The sequence below is a fragment of the Homo sapiens genome, chromosome 10 (assembly GCF_000001405.40).
Source record: "Homo sapiens chromosome 10, GRCh38.p14 Primary Assembly".
Lineage (NCBI taxonomy): Eukaryota > Metazoa > Chordata > Mammalia > Primates > Hominidae > Homo > Homo sapiens.
In genome coordinates this window covers 63662080-63688046 of record NC_000010.11, presented here as the reverse complement: position 1 = coordinate 63688046, position 25967 = coordinate 63662080, and the positions used below count along the sequence as shown (strand labels likewise).

At 39.9% G+C, this 25967-nt stretch overlaps 2 long non-coding RNA genes across 2 annotated transcripts in view, besides 5 other annotated features; one reads left to right on the top strand and one right to left on the bottom strand.

The window, feature by feature from the left end:
* The window catches only part of LOC107984238 (uncharacterized), a 55035-nt gene that overhangs the window by 12313 nt on the left and 16755 nt on the right, over window positions 1-25967 (top strand). The gene's annotated exons all lie outside the window — the stretch shown is intronic.
* Window positions 958-23414, bottom strand: LOC124902438 (uncharacterized). Its single transcript, XR_007062157.1, has 2 exons — window positions 23275-23414; window positions 958-3125 (listed from the first exon to the last, which is right to left on the bottom strand). It is a non-coding gene; the product is annotated as an uncharacterized LOC124902438 (long non-coding RNA).
* Window positions 2401-2900: an enhancer, noted in NCBI's record as "H3K4me1 hESC enhancer chr10:65444907-65445406 (GRCh37/hg19 assembly coordinates)". NCBI's record gives its function as "activates a minimal SCP1, AML or CMV promoter by ChIP-STARR-seq in primed H9 embryonic stem cells {active_cell/tissue: H9 hESC(primed)}" and the evidence as "EXISTENCE:reporter gene assay evidence [ECO:0000049][PMID:30033119]".
* Window positions 2401-3402: a biological region, named in NCBI's record as "H3K4me1 hESC enhancers GRCh37_chr10:65444405-65444906 and GRCh37_chr10:65444907-65445406".
* Window positions 2771-2971: a silencer, noted in NCBI's record as "peak966 fragment used in MPRA reporter construct". NCBI's record gives its function as "represses an SCP1 promoter by STARR-seq MPRAs in K562 erythroleukemia cells {active_cell/tissue: K562}" and the evidence as "EXISTENCE:reporter gene assay evidence [ECO:0000049][PMID:32103011]".
* Window positions 2901-3402: an enhancer, noted in NCBI's record as "H3K4me1 hESC enhancer chr10:65444405-65444906 (GRCh37/hg19 assembly coordinates)". NCBI's record gives its function as "activates a minimal SCP1, AML or CMV promoter by ChIP-STARR-seq in primed H9 embryonic stem cells {active_cell/tissue: H9 hESC(primed)}" and the evidence as "EXISTENCE:reporter gene assay evidence [ECO:0000049][PMID:30033119]".
* Window positions 14424-14718: a silencer, noted in NCBI's record as "tiled region #9763; HepG2 Repressive non-DNase unmatched - State 24:Quies, and K562 Repressive non-DNase unmatched - State 21:Repr". NCBI's record gives its function as "represses a minimal TATA promoter and a strong SV40 promoter by Sharpr-MPRA in HepG2 and K562 cells {active_cell/tissue: HepG2 | K562}" and the evidence as "EXISTENCE:reporter gene assay evidence [ECO:0000049][PMID:27701403]".

Genomic DNA, 25967 nt, shown 5'->3' with positions numbered 1-25967 from the left:
TTTAGAAAGTACGAACAAAATAGATGAGACATTTATGAAAAATCAATGACAGTTGTTTCTCTTCTGAACTTAAGATATTTGACAAGATCTGAGAAGACTTTGAAAGGAAACAAAAATGATAATCTAGTTCAGTTCTCAAGAACAAAAAAAAATTGGCTTATTGGGCAATAGGGGTAGATTGTTAGAAATAAGACGAAATTGGTATGATAGAGTCAGGATTTTCTGAGTTGGAAGGGACCCTACGGAACCATTCAGATTTACATGTTTTAAGACAACAAAGCTGAGGCCCAGACAGAAGAATGACCTGCTCAAAGTCACATAACCAGATAGGCCAGAACTGGGCTAGACGCTGTGACTACAAATCGGGTACGTTTTCTCCTTCATTGACCTGAGTTCATAGAACCATTTGAATGATTTCATGCTTCTGTGCACAATTGAGAATTTATGGCACAAAACAGGGAACAAATTTTGCTCTACCCAGTATCAAATTTTATGATGAAGTTACAGCGACTAAGGCCATGGGTATTAGCAGTGATGGGTTCAGAACATTCTACCTTAAAATGTGGCACCTTGACCTTTGAGGAAACAGCAGAAGCAGGAAGGTCATTCTCACCTTTCCCTCACCCTTCTCTCTTGAAGTAGCTCATAAAACCTTCATTCCAGAAGTATCCTCCCCTATACCCAGAGAAAAGAACTGTCTTTACCCTTGAAGACACAAAGTCGCCAAGAAGGATCTGGACAGGCTTTGCTAAGTTCCTCCCAGTTTATTACCATTAGATCATACCCCTTTTGTCCAATCAGACTTCTGCAAGACTGACCACTCTTCATCAAACCTAAGCATAAAAATACACAGGTTTCTCTGGTTTCTTTGGTTGGGCAGTGGGCAGTGGGGGCGGGGGGCTTCATTTCCAAAGACAATTCTGTAAAACTTATATTAAATAAATGTGTACGCTTTTCTCTTGTTAATCTGTTTTTTATTATAGGTGTCACAACAATGAACTTTTTGATAGGTGAGAAAAAGATATTCCTGGAATCTTTGACAAGATCTGAGAAGACTTTAAAAGGAAAAAAAAAATGATAATCTAGTTCAGTTCTCAAGAACAAAAAAAAATCAGCTTATTGGGCCGATATTCCTGGAATATCTTTTTCTCCCTCACAGCACAAAGCCAGACAAGGAGATCCATGGAACACAATAGAGTGGCCAGAAATTAGACCCACACACATATGGAATCTTGATGCATGAAAGTGGTGATTTGTAGATCAGAGGGTAATGATGGCCAATAAATAGCACTTGAATAAAATCCGTATTAAAAAACTGGATCACTACTTCAAATTGTATGCACATGTGCACATGCACACACACACATATACCCATTCCATATCCATGAAGTGAAATAAAACCAAAACTATTTAAAGTGTTTAGAAGTAAGAGAACATGTCTATGACATTAGGATAAAGGAGAATTTCTTAAACAAAACACAAACTCACAAACCATAAATGGAAAGTTTCTTTCATTCAACTACATTGTTAAAAATGCATCAAAAGAGCTGAGCATGGTGGTGCACACCTGTAATCCCAACTACTTGGGACTGAAGCAAGAGGATCACTTGAGCCCAGGAGTTGAAGTCCAGCCTGGGCAAAATAGCAAGACTCAATCTCAAAACAAAACAAAACAAAACAAAACAAATCATCAAAAGGCACATAATATTTTTACATAGGTAGATTCATTTGTAAACATTTATAGAACTATACCCTTAAGATTTCTACCCCCATTTATGTCTATTATATTTTAATTTTTTAAAAGTTTACCCAAAATAAGACACTATAATAAAAATCAAGGAGACGGCAATACTCTGGGACAAGATATCTGCAACACTATAACCAATAAAGGATTATAATTCAAAATATATAAATTTTGAATATATAATATATAACTTTCTCAAATCTAGAGAAAAACATTGAATAACAAAATAGAAAAGTGTACCAAAAATATGAATAGGCAAGTCATATAATACGACATATAATGGCTAATAGACATTAAAAAAAGTTCAATCTCATTGGTCACATATAAATGAAAATAACAATGAGGAAACATTTTACACACATTTAACTAGCAAACTTCAATTAAAGTCTGGCAAGACCAGGTATTCGTGAGAATGCAGAGCACCAGAAGCTTTTATACATTGCTGGTGGGAGTAAAAATTGGTAAAAGGTACTTAGGAAAATTTGGAAATATTCATTGTTAGGAACAAATGTTATAATCCAGCAGTACCCCTCTAAGTAAATACCAGAGAGAATATTACATGTTCACGGGGAGATATGTGGAAAGATATTCCTAAAAGCCTTGCCTGCTCATAACGTAAAAAAAAAAGCAACCTAAAAGTACAACCAACAAAAGGAAGATTTGTAAGTTGCAGTGTAGTCAAACAATAGAATACTATATGGCTGAGAAAATCAATGAACTGGACCTAAATATATAAACATGGATAAATTTCATTAAAATAATGTTAAGTGGAAAAGAGGAATTTACAGAAAAAGACTATGATTCTGGCTCATCGTCTGACTTTATCTTGACTGACAGTTTACCAAAACCTTCTGGAGGAGTCGGTGGACCAGGGAATGAGCGAGTTCTGAGAAACACTGGGCTCACCACAACTGGGACATTTGGCAGAGGACAGTATAGGCCAGGTGCTAGACAACAGGCAGGAATCTTCCTCATATTTCCTACTTCTATTCTTACCTTGACCAACCTCCAGCTCTCAGGAACAGGTCCGAGCAGAACATCCCTATGGAGGGAATGACTGTCCTCAGCTGACCCAAGAAGGAGAAGAGATCGGTACTTCATCTACATGTGACCCAGGAAAGCCAAGTACAGATAAACACTGGGCCAGGTTCACGCAGCCATTTTTAGTTCAAAAAGATGATGCCATATATATCTCTTGGTTCACACGCTCCAATCTGGGTTTTAAGCTTGATGCACAGTTGTCATCCTAGCAACTCTCTTCACCACCATCCTGGGGAGTCCTTTTCATCTTTCCCCTGTGTTGTGTATCCTGTTTCTTTGTCTCCCCTGGCTTCCTCCTTCTTCATTCACTCATTTTTTTCAGCTGCCAGTATTTGGGGAGCTAAGTGGGAGGAGAGAGTTAAGGGGATTCAACAATCAATACATACATTTATTTAATCGCCTTCTTTTATGTATGGTATTCATGCTCTCAATCGATTGTGTCTGGTTTCCTCCAGATCAGAGGCTCTTGTTTACCATCTGCAAAAAACCAGCATGCAGCCTTCAGTTGTGGTGGTAATGAGGTTCTCTCCTAGGGTATGCAGTGCCAGGGGAGCCTAGGGATCTGCATGCTTCTTACCAATCCACTTTAGCTCTCAACCAATCCTCTTTATTTATTTTACTTATTTACTTATTTGAGATAGGGTCTCACTCTGTCACCCAGGCTATAGAGTGCAGTAGCACGAACACGGCTCACTGCAGCCTGGACCTCCTGGGCTCAAGCAATCTTCCCAGCTCAGCTTCACGAGTAGCAGGGACTATGGGTGCATGCCACCATGCTTGGCTTTATTTATTTATTTATTTATTTATTTATTTATTTATTTAGTAGAGACAGGGTTTCACTTTGTTGCCCAGACTGATCTCAAATTCCTGGGTTCAAGTATTCTGCTAGCCTCAGCCTCCCAAAGTGCTGGGGTTACAGGTGTGAGCCACTGAGCCACTACTGCTAGTCCTCTTTTTTTTTTTGGAGACGGAGTCTTGCTCTGTCACCCAGGCTAGAATGCAGTGGCATGATCTTGGCTCACTGCAACCTCCGCCTCCTGGGTTCAAGCAATTCTCCTGCCTCAGCCTCCCAAGTAGCTGGGACTACAGGGACCTGCCACCACGCCCAGCTAATTTTTTGTATTTTAGTAGAGATGGGGTTTCACCGTGTTGCCCAGGCTGGTCTCGAACTCCTGAACTCAGGTAGTCCGCCTGCCTCGGCCTCCCAAAGTGTTAGGATTACAGGTATGAGCCACCAGGCCGGGACTTAGTCCTCTTTTAGCCTCACTTCCCTTCTACTCCTGCAGCCCTGACGCCACCTATTTTGAGGCTTTTCAGGGTTGTGTGGCATAAATCCAGTTGGTTCTCATCTTCACAGCGTCAGTTTAGGATTTGGCATTCTCAGGTTTACTGAGTCAGTACCCACTACTGCATCGGCTTTCCAGCTTCTAAAATGCTGCTGCTGTGGATTCCCATTGGCATGTGCAACAAAACACAAACTAAGCCTAGGTGTTACACGAAAAATCAAGCGTCTGTTTTGTGTGATTTCTAGGTAGGTTCCTACTGTTCGGTTGGGGAGGCAACCACAGTCTTCTTGTTGCCTTAGGTTTATGCCTTTAATTAAAGATTCCTCTATGTGTAGCTGAAGTGGGAGTGCAGGAAGAATTGAAATTATATCCGTGTATCTTTACCTGACAGTTTATATAACCATATAACTACAGTTTAATTGCTTACATCTTTTGTAGAGCTTAAATATGACATAATTAGTTAATGAAAAGATTGAGAAACCACAGTAAAGTTATGAAGGCATCATCCTGCCTCCCCATAGATAGAGATCTTGAAAACTTCATCTATGTTTAGACAGGGCAGAATCATAGAGTTTGAGACCACAAAGTCCAACACTCTCCTTCTTATTTTCAAGAAAAGGAAACTGTTCAGAGAGTTGACACAATTTATTCATAAACGTTAGTAGCAGAACTAAAATTATCTGCAGAATCTCCTGATTGTGGGTTAAAGTTTTTTTGTTACAGGTCCAAAGCCAGGAGCTAGCGTTTTTTTCATAGTTGACTAAACGGTTTCCCTATATATTCAATTCTTATTTAATTTAGGTTTTTCTCTACTAACAACATTTGCATTTCCTTTTTTTTTTTTTTTTTTTTGGAGACAAGGTCTCACTCTGTCACCCAGGCTGGAGTGTAGTGGCGCAATCTCAGCTAACTGCAACCTCTGCCTCCTGAGTTCAAGTGATTCTCATACCTCAGCCTCCCCAGTAGCTGGGATTACAGGCACGCACCACCATGCTCAGCTCATTTCTTTGTATTTTTAGTAGAGACAGGGTTTCACCATGTTGGCCAGGCTGGTCTTGAACTCCTAACCTCAAATGATCTGCCTGCCTTAGCCTCCCACAGTGCTGGGATTACAGGCGTGAAACCACCACTCCCGGCCAACATTCACATTTCTTAGAGGTCTCAGCAATCACACCCCAAGCAAGAAAAACTAAATTTACACATATTACTTGAAACAGTTATCCAACCAGATATTTTTATGTGAAAAATCTATTCTGAAGTAAGTGACAAATAAGAAAATATTAATCAGTTTCTCATGCTTGATTAATCTGGGCTAGCTCAGGCCTCCTCCTTCACATTATCACTTAGCCAGAGAGATAGAGATCAGATGACTGTACGCCAAGGAAGACCTGGGTTTCATTTGGTTTAGGGCACTCACTGAGTTACTCACTGTTCCTACAGATGGACGTCTTCAATTTTATACTCAGACTTACATTTCCATTCCCTTGGGTGATGTGTTGCAACATCCCCTCTGATTTTCCATGTTGTCTTAGGAACACAGCCTTCTAAGGGATTCAGGAAGCACACACACCAACAAGGATTCAATCACGAACATTCATTCCATTTAAGCAAAGTTGACTCCCTGCCTTTTCTCCTTTGCAAACCAATGTGTGCAATAGCTTATAGATAATTATGCATTCATTTGAAGACTTCAAGAACAGGGGACTCAGGCAGAATTTGTCAAAGCAAAGAAAATGATCAGATAGTTTTCATATCTCAGAGTTTTCAAACTCTGCCAAATAACTCCATAAAAATGTCCAATAAACACACACACACACACACACACACACACACACCGCTGAGCTACTGATAAAGTATTTCTGAATAAGTGAGTCTTCCAGAATGTTTTCACTTGTTATTCTTTTTTTTTCACAGAAAAACTTTATAAAATTCATTTATTTACTTGACTTCAGAAATCTAAACCAAATTTGTAAATACTTGAGTAAGAAGCAGATAGGACAAATGGAGGGAAAGTTCCATTCCTCAGACACATTCTTTAACTTAGCAGCAGCAACACTACCCTCAAACACACACCATTCTCTACTGATTGTGATAAAGGATCTTAAATATTGGATAGTTTGACATTAAATATAATGCTAGAATGTGAAGTAACCAGATTGCAAGATGATTCACAGATCCTTGATTTGTGATTTTATTTTATTTTTTGATTTGTGATTTTAAATGTGAGCATGAGATAATATTTCCGTGGGGCTTTATATTTACCTGTGCCTGACGTGGCCCAGAATTACCTGCCACAGTGAAGACAGGTAAATGGATGCAAATCAGCTGCCTGCCATTAAATTCTTCTGCTTCTCAAAATCATTAGGACAAGTTGGGAATGCAGTACAGCTCAGCCCTGCACTTCCCTTAGTCTAGTCTCTCGGGTTCAGTACAGCGTCCCCAGTTTCCATTCTTCTGGGAATGGAAGACAACATTCCTTTCACAAGAGCCTTCCATTCAGCATGAAGGAAAAATGGAAACCAAGGAATAAACAGATGCATAAAGCTGCATACACTTCTCCTTCCTGTGTTCTTTCTCCTCTGTATCTCCGTGTTCTTGTGAGAGATGAAATCAGAAATAATAGCTCATATAGATGAAGAATTTTATATACCCTGAGCTCTTCACATAGGCTGTCTAGTTTAATCTTTGTACACACAGGAACATTGAGACCATTGTTATCCCTATTTTTTACATGAGAAAATGGATGCTTAGAGAAATTAAGTAACTTTCTCAAGGTCACTCAGCCGGCAGATGGTGAGCTAGATGCAAATCCAGACATCCTAAATCCAGCCATCACCCTTAACCAGTGCCTGACTGGGAATCGCCTCATTTGTTAGATTGTTAGAGCAGCTCCTCCCAGCATCAGTGGCCTACTTTTCGTTAAACTGTAAAATGTTACCTAGTTTTCTGCCTGGCACTATGTTGAGGCCAATTTGGAACCTCTATGAAAGAGATATCTTGAGAAATAATTTTAGTGCACAAATCATAATAAACACATGGATATTTTTCTTTTTAAATCAACTTGATTGAGGTATAATTTTTATACAATATGCACCATTTTCTGTGTATAGGTTGATGAGACAAATGCACATACTCATATACCCTCCATTCCACTGGAGATATACAATATTTCCATCACTCAAGAAATTCCTACCAATGATAGACTAGATAAAGAAAATGTGGTACATATACACCATGGAATACTATGCAGCCACAAAAAAGGATGAGTTCATGTCCTTTGCAGGGACACAGATGAAGCTGGAAACCATCATTCTTGGCAAATTAATACAGGAACAGAAAACCAAACACCACATGTTCTCACTCCTAAGTGGGAGTTGAATAATGAGAACACATAGACACAGGGAGGGGAACATCACACACCGGGGCCTGTCGGCGGGTTGGGGGGCTAGGGGAGCATTAGGAGAAATACCTAATGTAGATGACGGGTTGATGGGTGCAACTAACCACTATGGCACATGTATACCTATGTAACAAGCCTGCATGTTCTGCACATGTATTCCAGAACTTAAGATATAATTAAAAAAAGAAAGAAAGAAAAGAAAAAGAAATTCCCTTGCTGTCTTTTGCAGTCAATCCCCCAACAACCCCCATTTTCCAGCCCCAGGAAACCAATCATCTGCTTCTTGACATTACTTGACTGTACTTGTTACTTTAGACCGATAGAATCACACAATATATACTCTTTTGGTCTAACTTTATTAGCCCAATTTTATCTTTTTTAATATTCATCCATTTTTGCATGCATCAATAATTAATTTTTATTACTGATTAGTTTTCCATTGAGTGAAGATGTTCCAAATTTTTTCATCCATATCATTCATTCAATGATAAACATTTGGGTTGTTTACAGTTTGGGCTATCATGAATAAAGCTGCTAGGATCATTCAAGTGTAAGTCTTGCAGTAGAATTGGCTTAGTTATATGATAAATACATGAGCATTGCAGTTGCCCCACATCCTCACCAACACAGTATTATCAGTGTTTTTAATTTTCACCATTCTAGTGGATGAGTAGTGATCTTTTTGTTACTTACATTTGTGTTTTCCTGATGATAATAATGTTGAGCATCTTTTCTCATGTTTATTGACTATACATTTATCTTGTTCTTTTTAAAACTATTTTCATGTACACTACCAAGGTAGCAAACACTGGCAATATTTTCTTTACAAACTAGAGAAAACCAAAGAAATGTTATCCCTATACATTGTGTCTCTCTCTGGAAGAGGTTGCTCATAGTCTTTCAAGTTACCATCTGCTTTAGGAGACACTGGGCTTCTCTTCCATGTTTGGCCAATAGCTCTTGCTTCCTATCTCTGAAGCAAGCACAAAGTGAACATCCCCAAAATGTTTGAAATGAATTGAATTGAACTGAATTAAAGCAGCTACATGTATGCTCTTCAGGTAGAGCAAAAGACGCTTCACTGAGGTGGGGGTGAGGAGAATGGGACTCTGTTTTACCAAAGTTTACTTACAAGTATCCATTCTAATCAAAACACCATTTTCTATGCCTTATATTGTTTCATATTTCACCATTGACTTTTTCTTTTAAGAGACTAGGTCTCTTGATGCTGCCCAGGCTGGTCTGGAACTCCTGGCCTCACGTGATCCCCCTGCCTTAGCCTCCCAAAGTGCTAGGATTACAGGAATGTGCCACCATGCCCAGCCTCATCATCGACTATTTGATGTTCTTATACATCACGATGACAAAGACTAAGAGACTATACTTGCTTCAAAATAAAATTAGTTACAATCTACCAGCTTCTGTTAGGTTGAAAAAAAAATTATACTTTAACTTTTCATGCTAGCTTCTATTAGACACATTTCTCATATCACAGATTGTTTGACCTTCTGGGACTCAGGCAGGGTGGGCTACCATGGGAGTGTTTGTCTGTGACTTGTGCCTGACTTTTGTTTTCCTTCCCACCTTCTAAACTACCAGGTGCCCTGTGAGTTCACACTGTTTCTTAGCTACGTAAGCCTCTTGATTGTAGATCTCATTTTATTCAACCTTCTCAACCACAGAGCTCACCCATGAGATGAAATGTAATATGATACATTAATACAAAAATCTTAACTATTATTTTTATCCATCATCCTTAGTGGATAACGTTTGAGCAATAGATGTCTTGTTCCAAAGAAATTATGATTGAAATTCATAGGCCCTGTGGTAGGACAGGATCATGAGTAGGAAAGTTATTGACTTGGACCACATTTTTCTGTGCTTTGAATGTAATTGTGACTGACTATCCACAATAAGCCATGTTCAAACCTTCCTCATAACTCCTTGTTTTTAAAAGACAACAGCCACCCGTAGGAAAAACTCACATGGTGAGCTTTAGTTTACTCCATATGAATATTTCAATAACCTAAAAAGAAGTAGGAAGGAAAACACTCCAGAGGTTATTTGACACATCTGCCAGGGTAGGCTGGTCATGATGCTATAACCTACCACTGCACAGAATTCCATGCCATCTGTAATTTTCTAAGTAAATCTAAATAGACAACCAAAATTCATTTGAAATTGTTGGAAAAAAACCTACATAAAGCTTCTGCAAAGAATAAAACATAATCTACAACCAGTACTAGGACCAATGTTTCTTTGAAATGTCTATTATTATGTTATAAAAGCATCTTCTTGCAATTACAGCAACAAAATATACTACAAAGAATACTAAGATGAGCATCAAGAAATCCTCATCTTAGTAAATCCTTACAAAATCCTTTTGTCTCACCTCCACCACTCTAACTCTGAAACTCTGGACAAATCATTCATTCTCCACCTACAAAATCAGGACTGTAATAAATATTTCTCCCTCCTGAAAATAATAGAAAGATAAATATCTGCAACAGTGCCTTGAGTTACAGCATAAATTCAAGGTATTGGCCGGGCGTGGTGGCTCACGCCTGTAATCCCAGCACTTTAGGAGGCCGAGGCGGGTGGATCACAAGGTCAGGAGATCGAAACCATCCTGGCTAACACAGTGAAACCCCATCTCTACTAAAAAAATACAAAAAATTAGCCAGGCGTGGTGGCAGGTGCCTGTAGTCCCAGCTACTCGGGAGGCTGAGGCAGGAGAATGGTGTGAACCTGGGAGGCAGAGCTTGCAGTGAGCCAAGATCGAGCCACTGCACTCCAGCCTGGGCAACAGAGCGAGACTCCATCTCAAAAAAAAAAAAAAAAAAAATTTCAAGGTATTATTATTTTTAGTACAGAAAGCCTAGAAATAAATAACATATTGTCCTAACATTTTTATTATTTTAATTAGTGCACATTGAATGTTTTTTGTGGGCTTTTATTTGGCTCTTTGTGCAAGAGGTAGGCAAAGAAAAAAGTCATGTGAAAAGAAAGAAATAACAAGAGGAAATAAATGAGACAACTTTGATTAATGTATTATACTAAAAATTACTGGTAGAAATGAAAGGGCAATTCTAAATTAGATAGCTACAAGACATGAAATCCCCTTCCTAAGCTATTTCAAACAAGCTAAACAAAGAACACATGGCATTGTAAAAATGAAGTATTGGAAAGCTCAAATAGCTAAATGGTCTCCATGATTAGAAATAGAGAAAGTATATTAGCTAATAAATGGACCCCATTGTCGAGAAAGAATACATAAATCTCCCTAAGGTTCCAGATGTTCTCTTCTGCTTCTCTTTCAAAGTAAAAGACTAAGCATCAGAAGTTTCTGGTCCTTGATCTAATTTTGAAAGCTTTTGGGGCCTGGGGCCAACCATTGAACCTCAACAGTCAGTTTCATCTTCTATCACTAAGAACAACTGTCTCCACAGGCAAATAATATCAATCTTAAGATTTTTATATCTACTTGGTTGAAAACTCATTTAGCACATTTTAGGACTGTGAATAGCAGCCGATTGTTTATTTTCATGTTTAAAAATATGAAAAGATTTAGCACCCTTCATCTTAAAAAGGTAAAGGCTAACAAGACACAAAGTTAATGAATTGTAAGGACAAATTAAAAAATCGCTTTGTTTTTAACATGCTAGGATATTCTCTTTAGAAACTTGAGCAACCTGCACTTAGGACAAACAAAAACAAGTTCTGTGTTGAGCCATGGGATTCATAGGCAGAGGGTATCATATCACTATCATACAAGTAGTACAATTTTCTTTTCTTTGTTGTTTTTTTGAGATAGGATCTCATTTTGTTACCCAGGCTGGAGTGCAGTGACGCCATCTCGGCTCACTGCAACCTCCACCTCCCGGGCTCAAGTGATCCTCTCATCTCAGCCTCCCATATAGCTGGGATTACAGGTACATGCCACTACGCCTGGCTAACTTTTGTATTTTTTTGTGGAGATGAGCTTTCACCATGTTGCCCAGGCTGATCTTGAACTCCTGGACTCAAGCAATCCTCCTGCCTCTGCCTCCCAAAGTGCTGGGATTACAGTTGTAAGCCACTGCGCCCAGCCCACACATAGTACAATTTTCTGACTTAGGCCCACTTCTCTGTTGGAGAGTCTGTGATCTACAACCCAAATATGAAGATTTCTTCCAGAATGGGAAGATTGTCCAATTACTTTCAAGTTCCAGGGGTAGCTGGAAAAAAATAAAGGAAGAAATAAGCAGTGCATATTCCGGTCACTCTGCTTTATTTCTTCTCTGTTTCCCTGACAATGAAACTTCCACCTGAGGCTTTATGATGGAGAGAGGCTGATAAGCAGCAGTCCTGAGTGATACAGTGTGCAATTTGGGGTGGGTACCTCACACATTATTTTCTTCATTTCTGAAGACAAATCAAAGTCTTTAGCTTACTTTTTTTTATTATCAACAATGGTAACTATAAACACTATTCGTACCCCCAAATAATTTTCATATTAGTGATATTATTCATAATTCCAACATAAAAGCACAACATAGCAAAGACTTATTTTGGGGAAAGTCTGAAACAGTTAAAAATGACATTAAAAGGCCAGGTGTAGTGGCTCATGCTTGTAATCCCAGCACCTTGGGAGGCTAAGGTAGGAGGATTGCTTCAGCCCAGGAGTTTGAGGCCAGCCTGAGCAACATGGTGAGACCCTATCTCTACAAAAGATTTTTTAAAAAAGAAAATTAGCTGGGCATGGTGACATGCACCTGTGGTCCCAGCTACTTAGGAGGCTGAGGCGGGGTGATCCTTTGAGCCCAGGAGGTTCAGCTGTGTTTGTGCCACTGCATTCCATCCTGGACAACAGATGAGACTCTGTCTCAAAAAAAAAAGAAAAAAAAAAGACATAAAAAAAATCTACAGCCACAGAAAATATATGAACAATTTATAATCCAAATTGTGATTTGAATGCCATGGACAGATTAAAAAAACAAACAAACAAACCTCTCAGTAGAAGCAAAAGTTAATATACCCTAGGCCACTGGTTCTCAAAGTATTGTCCTTAGACCAGCAGCATTAGCATGACCGGATAACTTGTAAGAAACACACATTCTCAGATTCCATTCCAGACCTACTGGTTCAGAAATCTTGGAGATGGAGCCCAGGAATTTGTGCTTTAACAGGCTCTCCAAGTGAATCATATGCATTCTACAGTTTGGGAACAACTGCCCTAATCTGTATATATTATTATCCTTATTTTACCCATAAGGGAACTTGGGCTCATGCATAACCCAGCTAAGAGAGCCTGGGACAAGGGCCAAGCCGTGTGACTCCAAATCTCATGCCCAGTATTGAAAGGGAAAAGAAATGAGCTTAAGAATCAGAAAAATCTCTGATTCCTAAGACAGAAGCTTTTTTAGCTAAGGTAGAAAAAAATTATTTAAAACTTAGCCCTCAGAGATTTCACCTGTGATATAGGGATAGTAATAACGTAACCCCAAAGAGTTTTTGGTGAGAAACAAATTGGATAAGGTATAAAACCGTGATTTTAGACCATAAAGAGTCATAAAATTTTGATCATTACTTCTACGTCTTTTTGATCTTCTGAGAAAACATGTTTCGGTTGCTATATCATGTTTCTAACTACAGGATATACAACGAAAGTTTTAAACACAATCTACTTCCATTTTTGTTTCCCGCTATAAGTTTTTCCTCCAAACTGCAAAATTACATGAGCTATAACTTTACTCAAGACAAAGTTATGATGACCCATATTTCTGTATAGGGAAAAGGGATAATGCTAAGTGGCATTTTTCTAGAAAAGAATCAAGTGATTTTCATTTAACAAAAGCATTTATTTAAGATGAGATGATGTGTATCTTATGCTTTCAGTTTATAGGGGTGACTTTCACAAGTAAATTATCATTCTACATTTATTTTATACAAATAATTTTTTTTTTTTTAAACAGGGTCTCACTCTGTCACCCAGGCTAGAATGCAGTGGCATGATCATGGCTCCCTGCAGCCTCGACCTCTCAGGCTCAGGTAATCCTTCTACCTCAGCCTTTGGAGTAGCTGGGACCACAAATTAGCCAGCATGCCTGGCTAACTGTTATTTTTTTGTAGAGACAGGGTCTCGCCATATTACCCAGGCTGGCCTCAAACTCCTGGCCTCAAGCAATCTACCCACCTCAGCCTCCCAAAGTGTTGGGATTACAGGTGTGAGCCACCACGCACAGCCTGACATTTTTAATGTAACATTTATTGCATCCTAAGTGGCCTTTATATAGAAACCTCATAAACTATATATGCTTTCTTTAACACTATTATAAATAGCTCTGAAATTACAAAAAGCTATCAAAACAATTTTTAAATACCTGTATTTCTACTGATCAGCAATAGCTGCCTTTAGCATTTTGGTTTTTGTCTTTCCAGAATTTTTCACATATGCATAACACACTCATATATATTTAAACAAAATAGAGCATTTGATGTTTCCACTTATCAGTATATTGTGAAAATATTTCCAGGTAATCACTTCTGCTGAATCAGCTTAAATGCCTGCATTATATTCTACTGGATGGATGGATTAGATGGATGAATGAGGGATTAACCAATCACTTACTATTAGACATTTATATTTTTATAGTTATTTGTCTTTTTTAACATGATTCAGTGAACACTGCAGACTGGCCTAATTATCCTCTCAGAATACATTCTTAGAAGCAGACTTTCTGGATCAAAGAGAAGCACAATTTTAAGGCTTTTGATTCACATTCCAAATTGCCTTTACAGAAAGATTGTACTTTTACTCTTGCCAGTAGTATATAAGTGCCAGTTTTCCAACATTCTCCTCTTTGGAAAGAAAATCTTTTCCATTCTAATATGTCGAAATTATGTCAAAATATGTCAAAAATAATATTTCATTGTTATTTTAATATGCATGTATTTGATTACTAGTGAGACTGATCATCTTTTAATAGGAATAGCAGGCACTGTGAGGCCTTCCATATCCTCCAGCTTCCACCTCTGTAGCCACTGGCTGCTTACTCAGAGGACCTGTTGAAACAGGAAAGTTCCTGACTCCCCCAACACAGGATGTGCAACAGAGGTGTGGCTCCACTGTGTGTGCTCAAACCCCTTATGGGAGAGGCGGCACGCATATGGGCAGGTACGGGAGCCAGGGCAAGCGCCCCTGGGCTCTGGCCCCACAGCAGTGTCCAGGGGTGGAAGCCTGTGACTCCCAAAGCCCAAGTGGGCGTGTGTCATGGTGCGCTCCTTTAGCCTTGCTGTTCGTGGATGACTTAAGTGTTAACCAGGTCAGTGCCCTCTTGGTACCCAGGTGATTGTCCGGAGTCCAGGAAGAATCCGGTGGCACATGGACTTGAAGGATGAATGCGGGGATTTTATTGAGTGGTGGAGATGGCTCTCAGCAGGATGGATGGGGAGCTAGAAGCAGAATGAACTGGAAAGATGATCTTCTTCTGGAGGTTGGCTGTCCAGTGGCCCACCTCCTCTCCAAATGTCCCCAGCCAAAATCTTCTCGGCATTCAGACGCTCCTTCTCTTCTGTCATGCCGTGCTGCCATTCTTCTGCTCTTCTGTTCGTCTCCTTGTGGAGCCAGGGGTTTGGGGTATGGGTACATGATAGGGGGTGTGGTGGGCCAAAAGTCAACTTTTGGGTGCAAAAACAGGAATGCCTGTTCCCATTTAGGGCCGCAGGTTTCCAGGCTTGAGGGAGGGGCATTTGCCAGGGAACTGCCCTCTTCTTTCCAGCATTTCCCTGTCTCCTGTCCAGATCACTGTGACTGCTGAGAGTGTTTCTTTGGTTTAACAGCAGGAAGAAGCTGTGCAAGAGTAGCAGGAAGTGCCAGAGAATTAACACTCCAAGGAGCAACCAAGTTGAGGTATAGGTGCCCAGTGGCACCCTGTTGAGGGGTAAATATCCCGCTTGTTAGGTGCGGTAACTCTGGGGAATGTTTTACACTGTCTCCCAGAGCTCCCTGGCAGGACTGAATCCCAGTTGCCCACAAAGGAAATGGCTTGAGGTACCCTTTGCTGGCTTCCTTCCTTTCCCTATTTCACTTCCCCACTTCCTGTCAGTGTTTTCTAGGATCATCTCCCAAGTAAACAACTTGAACTTGAATCCTTGTCTCAGGATCTCTGTCTGGGCTAGGGAACCCAAACCAAGACAATACGTTTTTCTTTGTTTGCCTTATTTAGTCAATTACCTGATCATTCATATATTTTTCCCATTTTGATATTGGAATTAGAATTACCTATTTTAAAATACTAAGGAAGGAAATATTAAGAAGGAAAAGATATTTGTGAAGGGTGACACTGATAGGTCACAAATCAGGAGCTTGCCAGATAATTAGTTAGCATGAAATTCAAATTGTCTTGAGATAGGTTAAGATTTAAAGTATGACAAGTTATTAAAAACAACTATTATATTCCAAGGTAATTGTCCCCTTTTAATCTTAGATGTGTCTTTAGTGGCTATTGAACTAAAGATTTCTTGGAGATAAAAATGAACTAAAATGTAGGAAAAGGAAAAAAACTAGAAAACTATGGTGAGGAGAATATTTTAGCCAAGGTGTACTAAATGTGTTGATTGAGTGCTATAAGCAAAGCTACATTCAAAAGTGTAAATATGCTCAAAATAGACTGTGATTATTTTTAGGGAGTGATTATGGTTCAGTGAGAAAACTGTTGAGGAGGTTTAACATGGAGAGATATTTTGGGTCAGATGACATTTTCTAGTGTCTAAAATCAATATGTTCTTAATTAAAGCACCAATCTCCCAAGAAGGCTCTGAAAGGCATAAACAATGTTAAACTAAGCTGGATCAGAGCCCAGAAAGTCAGCCAGACTAGGAGTGCATACAACTAGGGAGGAAAGAAAAAAAAGGAAGAAAAAACAACTTTCAAATGCAACTAACGATTTGGAGTTGGGGGATGGAGACAGAGGAGGGGGTAGAGACAACAAAAGAAAATTGCCAGTTTGCATCTTGCTCTGGGCCAGGAATCAGATGATCACTCCAGAAGAATCTGTTCAGAGGCCATTCTTCCAGCTGCACAATTGAAGCATTTGCAAAGGTAAAACAAGGACAATCAGACAACCTAGCTCGCCTTGTATGGGCAATGAAAGCTTTTAAGGAGGACACACAGAATACAAATCCACAGGAGTGAAACTTAAAAGGCTCTGCAGGTCTGTGACTGCCCCCTGCTTTCATGCCACATCTAGCAGAGTTAAATGAAAAAAAATGTGACTCAGTCATTTTAAGGTGTTTTATCAGGACAGATCCTAATGTTTTTCTGAACTTACAAGATACACTAAGGTTATGTGTCTACACAACAGAGACTATCCAGAAGAAATGTGGAAAATTCAGCACAGGTTAGAGTTAGTGCAAGTGATGACTGCTGGATCCCAAATCTGGTTGAGATTTATTAAAAGATAAATGCTCAATAATCCATCAGCTCTGTGTTAGTCAGATTCAAAGAGCTCACAGTCTAATTGGTCAGGAAGAGATTCCGCTGAATATATCTGTCTCAAACTAAAGATGTATCTACTTAAGTACATTTATTAGGTGCTCCTCCAACCATTACCACTAAATAAAGAGAATTTATTACATTGCCTGCCTCACCATATACTGAATTATTTAAGACTGTCAGCAGCCATCAACTAAATAAGCAAGGATAGAGGTGGTTTTGGGGAAACTCCATTAAAGTACATTACCAATGCATATTAGTCAGAATAGACTTTGGTTTTCTGTGATAGCAAACTACCCCTAAATCTCAGTGGATTCATCCAGCACAGTTTCTTTCTTGCTCACACTACATGTTCCAGGTAAATCAGCAAATATTGCTCCACATAGTCTCTGAAGGACTTGGGCTGATGAAGGCTCCACCAGCTCATCGCTGCACCATCTGGAATACGTGGCCAGGAAGCGGAGGTGGAAGAAGAGAAACTAAAGGGAATCCCACACATGTCACTTCTGCTCATGTTTCATTAGCCAGGATTAATCCCACGGCTCCTTCCAAGCACAGGCAGTTGACAAGTGCTGTGTCATTTGTGCCTGAAAGAGGAAGGGGAAGGAGCCGGATATGGGAGTAATTTCCACATACGCATATTAGTGACCTGGAATTCTGGAGGTTTTCCTAGCACAACGTGATTTCCTAGCATAATCGAGGTCGAGAGGCAAAGCTAAGGATACATAACAAAAGGCATGAGCCCCAGCTCAGAGGTCCCAAACCAAGGCCAGGAGCCAAAGAGGGAGGGAGGTTTGGACAGCCACGAACAAAGGAGGGAGCATCAAAATCCTGATAATGTCTTATGGCAAAGCTAACCTGTCATAAAGCTATTTTAATTGACTTTGTTTTCATGCAAAGTGGCTTTTCCCTCAGGCATCTTAAATATGTCACTTGATAATTGACATCACACCATCTGCATTTTTCAAAGTATGGTCCTTGTATCACTGGGAACAGATATATCTGAGGGGCTTCAGAGAAATACAGATTTCTAGGATCCAACCAAGATTTTACGGATTAGAATCTCTGAAGGAGGTTCCAGGAATCTGCATTTTTTTTTGAGATGGAGTCTTGCTCTGTCACCTAGGCTGGAGGGCAGTGGCGTGATCTCGCCTCACTGCAATCTCCGCCTCCTGGGTTCAAGCAATTCTCTGCCTCAGCCTCCTGAGTAGCTGGGATTACAGGTGCCCACCACCACGCCTGGCTAGTTTTTTGTATTTTTAGTAGAGACGGGGTTTCACCATCTTGGCCAGGCTGGTCTTGAACTCCTGACCTTGTGATCCACCCGCCTCAGCCTCCCAAAGTGCTGGGATTACAGGCATGAGCCACCGTGCCGGGCCAGGAATCTGCTGTTTAACAAGTAACCCCTAGGTAATTCTATGCATTCTCAGCTTTGGGATTCTGTTTTTGACTTGTGCCAGAATCTAGGGAAAGTCCGAGATCTGGGTTGGGTTTAGGCCCTGGGAGAATGCCCTGCATGGTCCTGGTCACCAAGTAGAACCTGCCCTACCACGAGAAGGCATTTGGTAAAGTCAAGACCGTGCATTTAGGTTAAATGGGGGACTTTTCTGGAGGAGGAAGATTTAAGAGCATATAAACTAGGTTGATTCTGAGATCCTGAAAAACTGGGTTTGGGAAGGACTGGCTAAACACAGAGTAGCTTCAAGGACAACAGAACTTGTAGGTAGGTATTCAATGAATTGACAATGGTGGGGATAAAGAAGCGCCCAGTTTCTGAGGTTGAGTTTTGGAAATGGTCAGGTGGAGCAGATGAGGGCCTTTGGACTTCTTCGGCACATGCTGCAAGTGCTGCTCCTTAAACAGGCTGGGCTGGGCAGAGAGGGAACAGCTGGTGAATCCTGAACCCTTTTTGCTGAGATTATGGGAGGTGGGGTGTGGAAGGAGGGCAGACAAACTGTAAGAAACACTGTCACGGCTATTAGAAACTTTTTTAGAATAGAGAGAAAAGTACCTACCAGACAATTAGAAAACAGAGCTATTACACACATTACAGGAGGGAGGAGTGAAAGCAAAATGGATGCATCACAAAGTTTTGTGACATCCACAACTCACAAAAATTAATGGGCATCTGTGGGTTAAACACCGAGAAGAAATTCAGATATCCAAACAAAATTAAGACTATGAATCTTGGGCTGGAAAGTAAGAATATGGAAAGAAAGCAGAATGTATATGTATATGGAGGACTATCTCCAAAATGTCAACTGTCTAACCCTAAAAAGTTATTTCACAGTTGCAGAAGAAATCATTTTGCTTAACTGGAAACATTTATTAGCTGCAAAATGCACAAGCCCCTGTGAGCTCTTCAAACATATGATCAGAAAGTGAGCTATCTGCCCGGCACGGTGGCTCAGGCCTGTAATCCCAGCACTTTGGGAGGCCGAGGCAGGCGGATCACAAGGTCAGGAGATCGAGACCATCCTGGCTAACATGGTGAAACCCCGTCTCTACTAAAAATAGAAAAAATTAGCTGGGCGTGGTGGTGGGCGCCTGTAGTCCCAGCTACTCGGGAGGCTGAGGCAGGAGAATGGTGTGAGCCCAGAAGGTGGAGCTTGCAGTAAGCCGAGATTGCGCCACTGCACTCCAGCCTGGGCAACAGAGCAAGACTCTGTCTCAAAAAAAAAAAAGAAAGAAAAGAAAAGAAAGTGAGCTATCTTTGGAAGTATAACATCATGCCCTACATGATATGGGGCTAAGGTCAACATCAGAGGTCTAAGTGTGGCTTAGTTGAATGTGCTCAGGATCTTGTGTGCATTCTGTTCAGATACCAGCATTTTATCTTGATATTCTAGGACAAGGAATTCCAAACAATGTTATTCACCATTAATTTTTGTGAGTTGCAGATGTTTCAAAACTTTCTGATGTGTGCATTTTGCTTTCACTCCTCTCCTTCCCTTTCTCTTCTTCCTCCTATCTGGTATGTAAAAGTTCTGATTTATAATTATCTGGCATGTACTTTTCTTTTACTTGTAATAATCTTCCGAAAGCCATGACAGCATTTTAAAGCTTACACTGAGGGAGGCTATCTAAATGTGAAACAGATGAAAATATATATCTTGGGCAAAATAACTTGCAGATATGAGAAAGAAAATTAGAGTAGGCATATGTTTGTGGTTGAGAAAGTGTATCTGTCCAAATATATGGTAGAGGATTAGTATGGAGACTGGACCTCTGCAGAGAAGGGTATTGTCTAGTTGTGATATAAGCAACTGAGAATTCTGGGATAACCCTCAACCTCTTTGGCTGACAAATCATCTTCAGCTAGATGCTTGGAGTTAGAAACAATTGATGCCAGGTGGGTAAAAGAGAAAGTTGATTCCATTTACTTTACCACCTCATTTATTTCTGGGGCAAGACAAGTAAAAACAGCACATATGTCTTACCATCAAATGATTATTGCTTTTCATTTGTTTGCAAGGGTATTGGTATTGAAAACTCAAAATCTAAGTGTGAGCAGCCCTTTATACAAGAAATTAATGTAAACCATAGATTAGAACCAGTGTAGAAAATATTAATATTATCTTTCATATAAAAAACAAGAAAACCATGAAAAAAGTAGTTGTAGAGACCCCCAACCATGAGATCTTACATTAAAGTGAAAAACAGTCCTACTATTTTGAGTCAATTATATGGTTACTTACAAAGCTTTGGTCTATAACAGCCTTTCATATAAAGCATTTTTATTTTTTCTCTATGAAGATTTTCATTTTACATTTGTCATCTAATGCATTGTATTGATAGTTATTTAAAAGCTGATATATTTTTTTCCTAAGATAGAGTAGTGAGTCATCTTCATGCAAATAGCAGAGCCCTCCTTGGCTAGAACTGCTGCGTTCTAAGTCATAATGTGCATTTCGACCTCTAACCACTTTTGGAGAGTGACCAAATCAAGACAAAAAAATCTGATCTTGCTAAAGACCACATAGGAAGTCCTTGGCAAAGTCAGATGAGAAAAAAGAGTTCATGAACTCCCAGTACCAGCATTTTAACCACTGCCTTTGTCCCTTGTTTTGGGAACCCCATTAAAATAAAAAAGTAGAAAATTCTGGAATTTTGGTTGCTGTTTTCCATGACCAATTTAACGGAGTGGTGGAAAGAGTTCTGCACTAAGAGTCAGAGATTGTTTTTCAAAAATAACCAACTTTATGTAACGGAAACTTTCAATGAACCCTTTTGACCCATCTCTCAGCTTCAAGAATCTTACTTATAACCTATCTCATTTTATCTATATTCCACTGAATTTTTTTATCCTATATAATTTTAAGGCAAATACCACACATCATACCATATCATTTCCTCCATAAATATTTCAGGATATACCTCTAAAAGATGAATCTCAAAAAAAAACCCATAATACCATTATTATATCTAAAACATTTGATAATAATTACTTAATGCCATCAAATATCTATTGTTCAAAATTCCAACTGGCTCATAAATATAATTTTTTTTTGAGATAAGATTTCACTCTGTCACCCAGGCTGGAGTGCAGTGATGTGATCATGGCTTACTACAGCCTCAACCTCCTGGGCCCAAGCCTTCCTCCTATCTCAGTTTCCCAAGTAGCTGGAACTACATGTACATGCTACCACACCTGGCTAATTTTTAATTTTGTTTTTGTAGAGACAAAGTCTTACTATGTTGCTCAGGCTGGTCTCGAACTCCTGGGCTCAAGCAGTCCTCCCACTTCGGCCTCCCAAAGTACTGGGATTACAGGCATGAGCCATCGCAGCCAGCAAATATAATAATTTTTAAATTTGTTTGAATCAAGATCCAAGTAAAGTCTACTTGTTGTGATTCATCACGTTTCTTAGTTCTTTCTAAATTTCTGGGCTTTCCCTCCATCTCTTCTTTTTTTTCTTTCCTTTTTTTTTTTTTTTTTTTTCCTTTTTTGAGACAAGATCTCACACTCTGTCACCCAGGCTGAAGTGAAGTGGTGCAATCATGGCTAACTGCATTCTTGAACTCCTGGGCTCAAGCAATCCTCCCACCTCAGACTCCTGAGAAACTGGGACTACAGGATCACACCACCGCGCCTGGCCCTCTTTTTTTCCTGTGTAATTTATTTGTTGAAGGAGCAGGTCATATGTCCTCTAGAAACATACTGGCTTTTGCTGATAGCAACTTTGTGGTATTCTTTAGCACATTCTTCAAGTCTCTGTTCTTAAATTGGTAACTGAATCTAAGACGTTTGAAGGGATTCAGATTTGGTTGTCTTTGGCGAGGGTACTTGATGGATGTGGTGTGATTTCATCAGGAGGCCCTAATGTCTGTTTATCTCTTGTTGTATTATGTCAGCAGATGTTGGTGCTTAATTTCTAAATGCATTAATTTGTTAAGGATTGTGAAATGGTGACATTATAATTCTATTAGTCTTTCTTTTATCAGCTAGAATAAAAAGAAAGTTCCCCTTGCCTGCTATATAGCTCCCAGGAGTACAGTTCAAAAGCAAAGGCAGGATAAATGCTTACATCTTCCTTTTTATTAACAGCTTTCCAAATAATAAGTTGGTTTTCTAGTACCCTACCATGATGAACAACGAGCCGTTGTTGTGTTTTAGTAACATTATGAACTAACAGAGTTAAACATATTTTGTATGTTTCAATCTATTGTAGTTATCATCTTTACTGATACTCAAATCATCCTGAGAGACTGGACTAGCCGGATTTCCTAGGCCGACTAAGAATCCCTAAGCCTAGCTAGGAAGGTGACTGCATTCACCTTTAAACACGGGGCTTGCAACTTAGCTCACACCCGACCAATCAGCTAGTAAAGAGAGCTCACTAAAATGCTAATTAGGCAAAAACAGGAGGTAAAGAAATAGCCAATCATCTATAGCCTGAGAGCACAGCGGGAGGGACAATGATCAGGATATAAACCCAGGCATTCCAGCTGGCAACCGCTACCCTCTTTGGGTCCCCTCCCTTTGTATGGGAGCTCTGTTTTCACTCTATTAAATCTTGCCACTGCACACTCTTCTGCTCACGGTGTTTGTTACTGCAGGAGCTGAGCTTTTGCTCGCCATCCACCACTGCTGTTCGCTGCCGTCACAGACCTGCCACTGACTTCCACCCCTCTGGATCCCGCAGGGTGTCCGCTGCGCTCCTGATCCAGTGAGGCACCCATTGCCGCTCCAGATCAGGCTAGAGGTTTGCCACTGTTCCTGCATGGCTAAGTGCCCAGGTTCATCCTAATCAAGCTGAACACTAGTTGCTAGGTTCCACGGTTCTCTTCCGTGACCCACGGCTTCTAATAGAGCTATAACACTCACCGCATGGCCCAAGATTTCATTCCTTGGAATCTGCGAGGCCAAGAACCCCAGGTCAGAGAACAAGAGGCTTGCCACCATCCCATTTTGGAAGCGGCCCGCCGCCATCTTGGAAGCTCTCGGAGCAAGGACTGGCCCCCACCTCCCCCCGCCCCTCCCCCCGCCCCTCCCAACAATCCCAGTAGGATGTAGTAAAATGTTACTACTTCATACTGTTTACTTTAAATTCAAATTTATGACTCTAGAGAAACGGAATCAATAGAATGTATGTTTATAGAGGTGTGTGTATGTGTGTGTGTATGTGTGTGTGTATATTTGTCCTTAGGGTACATTCATTATAATATATAAAAGATTACTAGATTATAAAGTGACATGGAATAGTTCCTCTCCGTGTGATCATGAGACCAATTAGATACACATTTTGATTTATTTTATTTTTTATTTTAGGGAAAAATTTTTTAAAAAGTGATTTTGTTTTATAATTATATAACATTTTTCATGGTTCTTAATGTCGAACCTATACATTTAGATTTTTATAAATTTAGATTTAGGCCGGGAGTGGTGGCTCACGCCTGTAATCCTAACACTTTAGGAGGCCGAGGCAGGTGATCACTTGAGGCCAGGAGTTTGAGACCCGAGACCAGCCTCGCCAACATGGAGAAACTCTGTCTCTATTAAAATACAAAAATTAGCCAGGCATGGCGGCACATGCCTGTAATCCCAGCTACTTGGGAGGCTGAAGCACGAGAATCTCTTGAACCCAGGAGGCAGAGGTTGCAGTGAGCCGACATCGTGCTACTGCACTGCAGTCTAGGCGACAAAATAAGGTTCTGTCTCCAAAAAAAAAAAAAAAGAAAGAAATTGGAAGATGTGATTATGGAGGCAGGCAAGTTCCAAGATCTGCAGGGTGAGTCTGCACGCTACAGACCTAGGAGAGCCAAAGATGCAGTTCCAATCAGAAGGCAGGAAAAAAGCCGATGTCCTAGTTCAAAGTATGCCAGGCAGGAAGAATTCTCTATTATTCAGGGAAGGGTCTACCTTTTTGTTCTGGCCTTCAACTAACTGGATGAGACCCACTCACATTAAGGAAGGCAAGCTGATTTACTCAGTCTACTGATTTTAATGTTAATCTCATTAAAAAAAAAACCCTCACAGAAACACCCAGAATAATGTTTGGCCAAATATCTGGGCACCCTGTCACTCAGTTGACACGTAAAATTAACTGTCACAATAACCATAGGGTTTTTAATTAACCTTTCTTTCTTTTATTTATTTATTTATTTTTGAGATGGAGTTTCGTCTTTCACCCAGGCTGGAGTGAAGTGGCGCGATCTCAGCTCACTGCAACCTCCACATCCTGGTTTCAAATGATTCTCCTGCCTCAGCCTCCCGAGTAGCTGGGATTACAGGCGTGCGCCACCATGCCTGGCTAAATTTTGTATTTTTAGTAGAGATGGGGTTTCACCATGTTGGCCAGGATGGTCTCAAACACCTGACTTCAGGTGATCTGCCCACCTCAGCCTCCCAAAGTGCTGTTATTACAGGTGTAAGCCATTACGCCTGGCCAGTTATGTGATCTTTTGAGTCTGTCATTCTTGATGTTATTGAGAAGTGAGATTCTGAGCATGGAAGGAAAGAAGATACAACAGTAATATAAGAAAGGTAATATAAGAAAGGAGATAATATAAGTAATATAAGAAAGGTGATACAACAGTAATATAAGAAAGGTTGTATCTCCTTTCCTTCCATGCTCAGAATCTCAGTTCTTAATAACATCAAGAATGACAGACTCAAAAGATCACATAAATGGCCAGGTGTGGTGGCTCACACCTGTAATCCCAGCACTTTGGGAGGCCGAGGCAAGCAGATCACCTGAGGTCAGGAGTTCATGACCAGCCTGGCCAACATGGCAAAACCCCGTCTCGACTAAAAATACAAAACATTAGCTGGGCATGGTGGCAAACACCTGTAGTTCCAGCTACTTGGGAGGCTAAGGTAGGAGAATCACTTGAGCCCAGGAGGTGGAGGCTGCAGTGAGAGCCGAGATCATGCCACTGCACTCCAGCCTGGGTGACAGAGCTAGACTCCATCTCAAAAAAAAAAAAAAAAAAAGTCACATACTCAGTTGCTTTATCTTACAGTGCACAGCTAACAGTCTCAGAATAATACCAACACTTTCACCAACACCATGACTCTATAAATGACTTAGTGATTTTTCTGATTTGAAGATCTTTTTGTCCTCAGGGCACAGTCCATTATTAATGTCCAAAAGATTACTATTTTATAAAGTCATTTGGAATAGCTCCTCTCTGTGTGATTATGAGACCAATTAGATACGCCTTTTGATTACTTATTTTATTTTTGATTTTAAGGAAATAATTTGTAAAACTTAATTTTGTTTTATAATTATATAAAATGTTTCATGGTTCTCAACATCAAACGTATAAAACTAGATATTTTCAAGCATGGTCTTGCTTCTATCCCTGATCCTTAAAGCTAATCATATTTTAATATAATCTGTTTATGTATCTGTATATGAATATAAAATCTCCTGGATATGTTCAATTGCTTAAAGTTTCTTTTTCAGGGAAACTTCCTGTAAGTATATTAGATCATTTTTGCCCTTCCTCTATATCTGTTTCTTTCTCTCATCTTTTTTATCTCTTCCTTCTATTTTTAAATTTTTCCTCCTCTCT